Source organism: Homo sapiens, chromosome 9 (assembly GCF_000001405.40).
Source record: "Homo sapiens chromosome 9, GRCh38.p14 Primary Assembly".
NCBI classification, from domain to species: Eukaryota; Metazoa; Chordata; class Mammalia; order Primates; family Hominidae; genus Homo; species Homo sapiens.
The window spans coordinates 111,207,746-111,220,557 of record NC_000009.12 but is presented as its reverse complement, the minus strand read 5'-3'; the positions used below and the strand labels follow the sequence as shown (position 1 = coordinate 111,220,557).

The 12,812-nt window shown below is 36.4% G+C and overlaps 2 annotated features.

Moving 5' to 3' along the window:
* Positions 416–585: an enhancer, noted in NCBI's record as "experimental_105661 CRE fragment used in MPRA reporter constructs". NCBI's record gives its function as "activates a minimal promoter by MPRAs in K562 erythroleukemia cells, with activity observed for the introgressed 9:113982338 or rs2773535 variant allele {active_cell/tissue: K562}" and the evidence as "EXISTENCE:reporter gene assay evidence [ECO:0000049][PMID:34662402]".
* Position 500: a transcriptional cis regulatory region, noted in NCBI's record as "Neanderthal adaptively introgressed variant 9:113982338 (GRCh37/hg19 assembly coordinates) or rs2773535 in the experimental_105661 CRE". NCBI's record gives its function as "modulates activity of the experimental_105661 enhancer by MPRAs in K562 erythroleukemia cells {active_cell/tissue: K562}" and the evidence as "EXISTENCE:reporter gene assay evidence [ECO:0000049][PMID:34662402]".

The following is a 12,812-nucleotide window of genomic DNA, read 5'->3' as shown; positions in this document are numbered from 1 at the left end:
TTGGGTCGGCCTTCCTTCTTTCCTTCCTCTCTTCCTCCCTTCCTTCCTCTCACTATGTTGGCCTGTTGCCCAGGCTAGCCTTGAACCCCTGGAGTCAAATTATTCTCTTGTCTCAGGATGCCCAGTAGCTGGGACTACAGGTACATGCCACCGTGCCTGGCTTTCTTAAGGAAATATTCACAATATTTATTTGTAATAGAAGAAATTTGGAATAGAAGAAATTTGGAAACAATCTAAATCTGACATTTAAAAAGTTTGGTTGAATACATTAAGACATACCTATATTATGAAATATTATGTAGCCATCAAAATCATGGTATAGATATTTAAATATTAACATAAAGAGTTCTGAATACATTAAGAGCAAAAGGCAATGTACAAAGCTGTCTGTATAAATGATCCAATATTTGTAAGTAAACATAATTATTTACATGTGCATATATACATAGAAAATAGTTTGGAAGGAAATATACCATGTTATTAACAGTGGTTATTTCTGGATATCATTGCTATCTAACTGATAACCTAGAGATTTTTCCTCCCATTTTTCTTTTTAAATTCTATTTCCTCTTTTTCTATAATAAAGATTATGAAGTTTTAAATAGGAGAAAATTCTTTCTTATAACCCCATTGTTAATTATAGTGAAGTTGTTGTATACACTGCCATTGTATCTCAGCATAGTCTTAACAAAAATAAACACATCTCTTAGGTTCCATTGCCAGGAATGGATGAGTGATTTATTGAGCAACTGCTTTATTTTCATTTCATAGGCATTTAGAGTTATATCATTGTCTTTGCATTAGCTGAAAAGCATATTAGAGCCAAAACTGTGGCCCATTCTTATCAATGTGAATTGCACTTTATGGCTTACATTTTGTTTAGTTAACTTTTCTTAATGTCATCTTATTTTTTTCATACTTTGGTTTATCTTCTTTTCCCACCCACCCTAGTTTTCTCATACTACACCTTCATTTTCTTACTGATTAAAAAAATCCTCTTTACTCTCTACATTCATTTCACTTTGAAATCCTCTTTTGAATAAAGTGTGATACAAAATAAAATGAATAACTTGTTAACTGACCAATTAGTATAAAATCATATATATATATACACACATATATATATGTGTATATATATATACACACACATATATATATGTATATATATATATACACATATATATATATGTATATATATATATATATATATATAAAATAACATAATAGCTATTTGAGTGCTTATTCTCTGACAGACCCTGGGTTAAGCAATTGATAGGCATTTTCTCATGAATCCTTACAACCATCCCATATGGTTGGTCCTATTATTTCCCGTAGTTTTTAGATAAGGAAAGTGATGCTTTGTTTTTTATTTCTGTATCTTTTTTTCTTTATTTGTGAATTATTTAATTTTGAAAGAGTGTGAAAATTTTTCCTTTAGGCTGTTGAAATTTCTGATTTGCCATATCCTAGGAAATAGAAATAATAAAAAGCTGCCAATGAATGTGTATTGACACTAGAAGTATAAGCAGATGCTCTTGGGTTCTCAGAGGTTAAGTAACTTTCCCAGGATCAGTCAATAAGAAGCACTGCAGAACTGTCAACTACATAAAAGAAGTATGTTGCATAAGAAAAATACTGAAGGGAACACAACAAACTCTTAAGTAGTTACCGTGAAACTGGTTATTTGTGCATGTGATTGCTATTTTTCTATATTTTCCAAAATTTTCACAAGTATGTCATTTTAATGAGACGGAATAAAGTTTGTGAACACACTAACCTGACCAAACATCTTAAGACCATTTCAGGCCGGGCTCAGTGGCTCACACCTGTAATCCCAGCACTTTGGGAGGCTGAGGCTGGTGGATCACGAGGTCAGGAGATCAAGACCATCCTGGCTAACATGGTGAAACCCCGTCTCTACTAAAAATACAAAAAAAAAAAAATTAGCTGGGCATGGTGGCGGGCACCTGTAGTCCCAGCTACTTGGGTGGCTGAGGCAGGAGAATGGCATGAACCTGAGAGGCGGAGCTTGCAGTGAGCAGAGATTGCGCCACTGCACTCCAGCCTGGGCGACAGAGCGAGACTCCATCACACACACACACACACACACACACACACACACACACAAAAGACCATTTCGATAATTTCCCATTGACAAATTTGGATTTATGAATGCAGATCTGTTCAGTTATTCACAGTTGTGTGTCTTTCTCTTCCTTGACCAGTTTCCACCCCTGACCATTTTCCCCCTGAATATTTAAACAACTCACAACTGTATAGTATGGAAATTTCACTTCTGCAATGGCCTCTTCAAGTTGGTCCTTTGCCTAATGATCAACTCAAACAAGAAGGGAATGTTTCCTGCTTATGTTTATAAGGTTGGGCATTATCAATGAGGTGGTAAGATAGGGAAGATGTGTCCACAGTGCAAGAGGGCAGGACTATTCTGTGAGCATGCCAGTGAAGCCACACCAACGATACTGCAGTTGTGTAGCCAGATATTGGTATGTGAATAGCAAAAAACCTAACTGCCACACAAATAACCTTTAGGTATCTGGAAAAGCCAGTTTCATTTTCAATGTTTAAAATAGGAGCTCCTTAACTTTTCCAGAAAGCTGGGGGTATAAAAAGTCATTAGGGTATAATGGAAAATACACTGCACTGAGATCAAGACCAAATATCATTACTTACTTTTTGTAAGATCTTGGTTAGGAGCCTTATGATTTTTTTAATTTTTATTTTTGGACAAGTTCTCAGTCTGTCGCCCAGCCTGGAGTGCAATGGCGTGTTCATGGCTCACAGTGGCTTCAACCTCCTGGTCTCAAGCAATCTTCCCACCTCAGCCTTGTGAGTAGCTGGGACCACAGGAAGGTGCCACTATACCTAGCTAATTAAAAAAAAAATTGTAGTCATGGGGTCTTGCTGTATTGCCCAGGCTGGTCTTGAACTCCAAGGCTCAAGCAATCTTCATGCCTCGGCCTCCCAAAGTGCTGGTATTATAGGTGAGTGCCACCACACCTGGTCAGATTTTTGAGCCTCAGTTTCCTCACCTGTAAAATGGAGAACATAGTATAACTTTCCTTTCCACTTCAGTCATTTTGAGAATCAAATAAGATAATGTAAATTATAGCTTGTTGTAATCTTTAAAACCCAATACCAATAAAAGGCATCCTTACTTTTCACTGAAATTATTCCCAGATCATTGCATGCCAAAGATGAATTTTTCCTAAAATTAATTACAGTAAAAAACCCCAACGAAACCTCAAATTACCAGGTATTTGAATTTCATCTTTGAAAGTTTGCCGTGTTACAATTCTTCATCCAGTGACATTGAGCAAGAAGAAGAATTAGCAAGTCAACCACTGCAACATATATCAAGATTTATCCTGTGAGCTCAAATCATTTTTCCATTTCTGCTTCAATTTTTTTTTTCACTTATTACATAATTGGTTATTTTTTAGTTTTGAAATAGTACATAAAATTTACCCTTTTCTTTAGACGTTTCTGATTTGCTGTGTTATAGGAAATAGAAATAAGAAAAAGCTGTTAATGAGCAGTTACATGTGGATGCTTCTGAGATCTCTGAATTTCTGAGAAAGAATAATGCACCCCATTTCTGGGATGGTTGGAAATGCTTCACTGCTTTCTGCTTCTACTGACACCAGGACTGCAGAGCAGAGGGGGTAACTAACAGGGGCAAGGAGAAACAGCAGCGATGGATGAGATGGCCTATAAGATGGTCTTTGGTCACAGCAGAGAGACTTCTGGAGTCATCCAGGAATTTTGCTGGAAGTCAAAATAGCTGGGGAAGAGGAGATGGGAAGACGCAGAATTGAGGCTCCAGCAGTTTATCTTGTAAGGTCACAGACATATGTTTTGGTTGTGCTTATTTATCCAGATCCAGTGTATGGTCCTATCTTAGGCTGGTGGTCTGTTATGCCACATTTTTGTTGTCCGTGCTTTCATTGTGATGTTAAACAAATATTTAAGTAATAGTAGGTGTTCACATAATGGGGTTTAGAGGGCAAGATGGCCTTCTGCATCCTATATGTGAATATTCATCATGTTGTGCAGAGTTCATTGGAAGCAAATTAACAGTGGCAGTGCAAAAGAAGCCATTGTAATCTCAATAAATTTAAGAAAATCAAAATCATATCAGGTATCTTCTCAGACCACAGTGGAATAAAATTAGAAATCAATTCCAAAAGGAGCTCTCAAAACTATGCAAATACATAGAAATTAAATAATTTGCTCCTGAATGATTTTGAAGTTAATGAAATCAAGATGGAAATTAAAAAATTCTTTGAAATGAATAATAGTGATACAAGTTATTAAAACCTCTGGAATACATCAAAAGCAGTGCTAAGAGGAAAGTTCATAGCATTAAATGCCTACATCAAAAAATCTGAAGAGCACAAATTGACAACCTAACATAACACCTCAAGGAATTAGAGAAACAAGAACAATTGAATTCAAACCTAGCAGAAGAAAAGAAATAACCAGGATCAGAGAAGAGCTAAATGAAACTGAAATAAAAAATTAAACAAAAAGCTGGTTCTTTGAAAAGATAAACAAAATTGATAGATCATTAGCAAGATTAACCAAAGAAGAGAGAAGATCTAAATAAGCTTAATTAGAAATGAAACTGGAGGCATTACAACTGATACCACAGAGGTACGAAAGATTATTCAAGACTACTATGAACACCTTTATGTGCACAAACTAAAAAGCCTAGAGGAAATGGATAAATTCCTGGAAATATACAAGCCTCTTAGATTAAATCAGGAAGAAATAGAAGGCTGGGTATGGAGGTTCATGCCTGTAATCCCAGCACTTTGGGAGGCCAAGGTGAGTGGATCCCTTGAGACTAGGAGTTTAAGACCAGCCTGGGCAACATGGTGAAACCCCGCCTCTAAAATATATGTGTGTGTGTGTGTGTGTGTGTGTGTGTGTGTGTATATATATATAAATTAGCCAGGCATGGTGGCACATGTCTGTAGTCCCAGCTACTTGGGAGGCTGAGGCAGGAGGATCATTTGAGCCCGGGATGTGGAGGTTGCAGTGAGCCGAGTTTGCGCCATTGCACTCCAGCTTAGGTGACAGAGCAAGGTCCTATCTCAAAAAACAAAAACAAGAAAACCCTGAACAGATCAATAACAAGCAGTGAGACTGAATGGCTGATTTATAAAAAATGACTATCCTAAGTGAAATAACTTAGCAGTTTAATTTTTTAAAAATTTATCTGTAACAACAAAAAAAGCCCAGGACCAGATGGATTCACAGCTGAATTCTACCAAACATTCAAGGAATAATTGGTACCAATCCTACTAAAACTGTTCCAAAAGATTGAGAAAGAGGGAATCCTCCCTAATTCATTCTATGAAGCCAGTATCACCCTAATACCAAAACCAGGAAAGGATATAACACAAAAAGAAAACTACAGACCAATATCTCTAATGAACATAGGCATGAAAATCCTCAACAAAATGCTGGCCAACTGAATCCAACAGCACATCAAAAAGATAATACATCCTGATCAAGTGGGTTTCATCCCAGGGATGCAAGAGTGGCTTAACATATACAAGTTAATAAATGTGATACATCATATAAACAGAATTAAAAACAAAAACAATTGATCATCTCAATGGATGCAGAAAAAGCATTTGATAATATCCAGCATCCCTTCCTGATAAAAACCCTCAATAAACTAGGCATAGAAGGGACTTACTTCAAAAAAATAAAAGCCATATGTGACAAACCCACAGCCAATATCATACTGAATGGTGACAACTTGAAAGCATTTCCCCTGAGAACTGGAACAAGACAAGGATGCCCACTTTCACCACTTCTATTCAACATAGTGCTGGAATTCCTATGCAGAGCAATCAGGCAAGAGAAAGAAATAAAGGGCATCCAAATCGGAAAAAAGGAGGTCAAACTAGTGCTGTTCACCAATGATATGATCTTATACTTAGAAAACCCTAAAGACTCACCCAAAAGACTCTTAAATTTGATAAATGAATTTAGTAAAGTCTCAGATAACAAAATTAATGTACACAAATCAGCACTGCTATGTATCAACAACAACTGAGCCAAGAATCAAATCAAGAATTCAATTCCCTTTACAATAGCAGAAAAACAAAATGAAAACAAAACCCTAACCAAGGAGGTAAAAGACCCCTATAAGGAAAACTACAAAACACTGCTGAAAGAAATCATAGATGACACAAACAAATGGAAATACATCTTATGCTTATGGATGGGAAGAACCAATATTGTAAAAATGACCATACTGCCAAAGCAATCTACAGATTCAATGCAATTCCCATCAAAATACCATGATTTTTCACACAGAAAACAATCCTAAAATTCATATGGAACAAAAAAAGAGCCCGAATAACCAAAGTAATCCTAAGCAAAAAGAACGAATCTGGAGGTATCACATGATGACTTCAAATCATACTACAAGGCTATAGTTACCAAAACAGCATGGTACTGGTATAAAAACAGGCACTTAGACCAATGGAAGAGAAGAAAGAACACAGAAATAAAGTCAAATACTTAAAGAGCCAACTGATCTTCAACAAAACATACATAAACTGGGGAAAGGACACCCTATTCAATAAATGGTGCTGGGAAAACTGGCAAGCCACATGTAGAAGAATAAAACGGGATTGCCATCTCTCACAATATACAAAAACCAATTCAAGATGGATCAAAGATTTAAATCTTAGCCCTGAAACCATAAAAATTCTATGAAATAACATTAGAAAAAGTATTCTGGACATTAGCTTATGCAAAGAATTCATGACCAAGACCCCAAAAGCAAATGCAACAAAAATAAAAACAAATGGGACCTAATTAAACTAAAAATCATCTGCACAGCAAAAGAAATAATTGGCAGAGTAAACAGACAACCCACAGAATGGGAGAAAACAATTGCAAACTATGTATCTGACAAAGGGTTAGTATCCAGAATTTACAAGGAACTCAAACCAATCAGAAAGAAATCCCATCAAAAATTGGGTGAAGGATATGAATAGACATTTTTCAAGAGAAGATATAGAAAAATGACTAACAAACATGAAAAAATGCTCAACATCACTAATCATCAGGGAAGTGCAAATCAAAACCACAATGAGATATCACCTTACTCCTGAAAGAATGGCCATAGTTAAAAAGTCAAAAAACGATAGATGTGGGCGTGGATGTGGCGAAAAGGAAACACTTTTACACTGCTAATGGGAATGTAAATTAGTACAACCTCTAAGGGAAACAGTGTGGCGATTCCTTAAAAGTAGATCTACCATTCACTCCAACAATCCCACTACAGGGTATCTATCCAAAGAAAAAGAAGTCATTATATGAAAAAGACACAGGCACACACACGTTTATAGCAGCGCAATTCACAATTGTAAAGATAACGGAGTCAACCTAACTGCCCACTGACCAATGAGTGGATAAAGAAAATGTGGTATGTATAAAAAAGGAATACTACTTAGACATGAAAAGGAATGAAATAATGTCTTTTGCAGCAAGTCGGATGATGCTGGAGGCCATTATTCTAAGTGAAGTAATTCGGGAATGGAAAACCAAATACTATATGTTCTCATTTATGAGTGACAGCTAAGCTCTGAGGATGCAGATATGCAGAGTGATATAATGGACTTTGAGGACTTGAGGAGGAGGGTGGGAGGAAGATGAGGGATAAAAGGCTACATATTGGGTGCAGTGTACGTTGCTTAGGTGATAAGTGCAGTGAAATCTCAGAATTCACCACTACAGAATTCATCCATGTAGCCAAAAACCACTTGTAGCCCAAACCAAAAGCTATTGAAATTAAAAGAATAAATAAAAAGAGAAACTATTGTAAGCCCACAACACACAGAATCAGGGAGTCACTGAGTTACTGTGAGAATGTTCAGCTAATCTTTTTTTTTTTTTAATGACAACTTAATGTGCCCAAAGCAATCTAAACAGTTTAGGCATCATTGCAAACCACTTTGTGAAACAATATATTATAAATATAAAATTGTTGTTCCTTAAATATAAAGGCTGCTGGAGAATTAAATCTTCAGGGTATTATTAAAGATTTTCATATTTTTTCTTAAAAATTTAATTCTGAAGAAGGAAATATAATCAGGTAAAGCAATTAGGTCTGTTTATGAAAAGCCTGGCAGACTTACCTCTATCATAGAGCCGTCTTATGCTGATTGCCTTTTAATTAGGCCATTGCTGTATATCTTAATCCTAGGATGTTCTGATAATGTTGACAATCTCAGTGGTGTATGGAGAAGGTTCATGCTTAACATACAAATTTGGAACATGAGTCAGGCTTGGTTCAAACACGTTTAGGTTTTTTTTCACATGTATTTTCTTTTGGCAAGTAATCCTTCATAATATGTGAATATCATCAGATCATTATCGATGGAATTAAACAGAAACAGCTCAAATTGATATAGTTAATTGCACCCTGCATAGAACTAGATAGGAAGCAATAAAATGGCAATATCAGTAGCATACTTCCAGTAAATCGAGAATAGGGTTACAGAAGAAGTATCCTGCTATCTTGGAGGCACATAATGAGGAATCCAAAGTAGCATCTTGATTCATTTTTTCAATTGCCACAAAGGATCATTGGGTTAGAAAGAACAGAGTTGCCTATGAAAAAAGGCTATTGACAGTCAGTTTAGGATGGAGACACTGGGAGCTGCAGTATCACACACCCCTCTCCTGCATTGCATAGTGAATTTTGAAGGGAAGCAAAGTCTTCGATTAACGTCAAATAATTGCAGAAATAACTGCTAAGAATTAGCAGTATGTTCCATGAAGTGAGAAGTAAATATCCTAGCATAGAACAAATGGAACAAAGTCTAGAGTGGGACATAGAAAGGAAGATGGGAACCGTTAGTCAAACTGGTTAAAAAGATTAACTGTTTCTTGCCATACCAAGGAAGAAAGGAAGAGATAGTCAAACTGGTTAAAGATTATTATCAATTTATTACCGAGTAAAATGTAGAAAGTGAAATCACAATGTCCTAGAATAATGGATTAGACCAAGGAGCCAAAGAGAGGATGGATTAAAAATACATGTACTCTATGAACTGGCAATTCCATGTCTAGGTATATATCCAAGAGAAAAAGATAGTCCAAAAAAACTTTAACATAAATATTCGTGTCAGTTTTATTTGTAATATTCCCAAATTAAGCTGGGAAGGAGCACACAGGAACATTCTGGGGTAATGGAAATTTTCTATATCTTGATTGGGTTAGTGATGACATGGCTGAATACGTTTGTCAAAATTAATTGAACTTTACATTTAAACTATATGAATTTTATTGTAAATTGTACCTCAGTAAAGCCAATTTTAAAAAGAGATGGAAGAGATTGGGGAGGTGGGGGACATACCTTCAAATTGTGGGACAGAACCAGTAGAAAAATCTTGCCTTCCAAGATAGCAAGTGAACAGCAATATCCCCAGGTTGAAAGCAGCTATGTGTTCTTGAGCCAATAACCCAAACTACTTTATAGTTTGTATATATAACTAGGTACAAGTAGACTATGTATAGTAAATAGTCTCAGACTACAACTGAACTATTCAAAATATCCTTATTTATTTGGACACAAAGTTATAAAAACTTGGACATGTAGAACAAATATCTTTTAAAATCTGCAACACTTAAGAGAAATTTGCTGTCCTGATGCTACACAATTTCCAAATATTTTAGTGGGTGTGATAGGCAGACTAATGGCCCCTAAAATGTCAGATCTCAATGTCTGGAAGCTGTAAACATTGCCTTATAAGGAAAAAGGGTCTTTGCATATATGACTAAGGATCTTCAGATGAATATATTATCCTGGGTTATTCAGGTGGGTTCCAAATGCTTTCACAAGTGTTCTGATAAGAGAGGAAAAAAGATTAGAGAGAGACATAGAAGAGGAGGAAGCAATGTGGCCATCCAGGCAGAGATTATGGTATTGGAAAGGAAGGGAAAAAGGAATGAAGAAGAGCAATACTTTATTTTTCATTACTTAAATAAACGTCTATGTATAGACCTGTCATGTCTGCCAGGTGGAAATTTTATTTTTAGTTTCTTTGAGTTGTTCAATTCCATGGGGTTGTGCTGCAGTTTGAGAGGGCTTGCATTGTGCTAGAGTATTGGTGAGAAGCCCACCTGTTCCTTGGTCTTCGGACCATCCAGGCCAGTGCTGAAAGCCCTTGTTTCTGTTCACGTAGCCTCCCCCATCCAGAAGACTACTGCTTAATTGCTATGTTGGGCACCTCATGGTTCTCTCTGCTGCTTCTGGCTCCCACTTTAGAGGTTAGCTCCATGCAGAACCCCTTCATTCTTTTGGTCTAAAATCCAGGGAAACATCATTCTGGCATTGGGTGGGGGCAGCATGGGGAAAGCCCCACAACCTTCTGCCTGTTATTTCCAAATATTTAATTTATGCCCCAACCTCTTTTTTCCTTCAACTTTTAAGTTCCAGGGTACATGTGCAGGATGTGCAGGTTTGTTACATAGGTAAATGTGTGCCATGGTGGTTTGCTGCACCTATCAATCCATCACTTGGGTATTAAGCCCAGCATTCATTAGCTATTCTTCCTGATGCTCTTCCTCCCTGTGGGCCCACCCCACCCACTGTGACAGCCCCCAGTGTGTGTTGTTCCCTACCATGTGTCCATTCTCATTGGTCAACTCCTTTTTAAAGTTCTCTCTAAATGCTTGAAATTTTGGAGCACAGAAGACAGAGTGAGCCACACGTTGTTTACCCTTTCTGTCACTGCTAGCTTCATACAATTCTAGGGGTGAATAACTTCCCAGGAATTATTATAGATGAGTACCTGGCCCTGGCGGACCCTGCTTAAGGATTGGAGTGAAAATTCTGATGTTCAGAGTGGGTACATCCTGTGGAATGGTTTCCTTCAAGAATTCTATTTTTTTTTCTGTCTCAGAACATATGTAAACACATTCAGTTCTAGTTACAATTATTCACTGACCCAAACAGTTACTAATCTTCTGTTTAAATATCTATTTATCTGTGAAATCTGTTAAACTGCTGTTAAAAACACCCCACAAACATTATGGAAGTTTGTATATGAACTGTGTATTTGATGATATTATGGAAGTTTTGTTAATTTTGTTAGTTATGACAGTGGTATCACGGTTTGTAGGAGAATTTCCTTATTTTAAAAAGATATGTGTTGAAATGTTACGGGTGACATGGTATGAAGTCTGCAAATTGCCTTCAAATGGGTCAGTAAAATTGTGTGTGTGTGTGGTGTGTGTGTGTGTTGTGTGGTATGCATGGAGTGTGTGTGTATGTGTGTGTTGTGTGGTATGTATGTGTGTGTGTGTCCCTTGCTCCCGCTTCTCTACCCTTTTCTACTCAAACACAGAGCAGACTCCTATAAAGATAGGGAGAGGGAGAGGAAGACAGTAAATCACATGTGAAAAAATATGAAAAAAATTGTTAAATTTAAGTAAAGGATTATGTATGGTCACTGTAATATTGTAATATTGATTCAATTTCTCTAAAAAGCCTCAACTTCTCCCAAAGTCTCACTTTCTTTTTTGGTAAACTAATAATAACAATGAGAAAAAAGGATTATCAGAATGTATGGTGTTCTTGCGAGATAAAGCAAGCTAATAATATATGTAAAGCACTTAGCATGTGTTAGAAAATGCTTAATATTCATCACAATAGCTATTTCATTATCATTATTGTTGAGCCTGCAGACCCCTCGTGGGTCGTGAGATTTTAGGGAATGATCTGCATTGCTCTGGGGCCACTAAACTCTGAAACACCAAATTTCAAAGTCTCAAGTTTTGAGAATTTTTTGAAAGCTACGATTGCATAGAGGTGGGCTACTATTCCTCAGCTTTATTTGAAATCAGAGCAGCTGTGGGTCTCCTAAAGACTTTCCAGATTTATGGAAATACTGCGTTAGTAAGAAGTTGGAAAAATGAAAGTTCTGGGATCCTTCTGTGGCTCCTTCCTCTTGGGACACATGCTAGGAATCTTTTTCTGGAGAGACCCCAGGTTATAGGAGCCAATGCTGTGGATTCTGTGCCTCCCTATGACAAATATATATTTTTTCAGTTGAGAGTTTGACATACATAACATGTAGGAAGAGGAATGCTTTTTATTCCTGTTAATGACTACCTAGTTTGGGTATTATTCATTTATTCATTCATTTATTTAATCATTCATCCATCCCTGTAATATTTATTGAGCACCTGTTATGTGAAGACACGTCCAGATATTATTTTTTTAAATCTTGCTTCATCTGTCCCAGGCTTTTTTCCCTCAACATACAGTAAGAGATGCCTGGAGATAAATGAAATGCCAAGTGTATTTTAATCCCTTAGAAGTACTGAAATAACCTATTGGGTATTATGCTGATTACCTGGGTGACAAAATTGTACACCAAAATGCCGCAACACACAATTGACCCACATAACAAACCTGCACATGTATCCCTTGAATCTAAAATAAAAGTTGGAAAGAAGAAAAGAAAATCAACATTTAATTTCCACTCTCCTAACTTCAATTAATGTAAGTCTGGACCTGTTACTACAAAAATAGTACCATATCCAAAAGATCAATAAGTTCTAGTCAACATTTTTCTTATTTCAGTCAATTTAATATAGATAAAAATTCCAGTACAAATGAAATGATGTGAATTATTCCTTACAGTAGAGACTCAAACCTGGATGCTCATTAGAATCAGCTAAAGATTTTAAAATATTTCTCATTGTTTTTTTTAAAAAGCCTTCAGAATCTACTGAACCAGAATCTCTAAAGT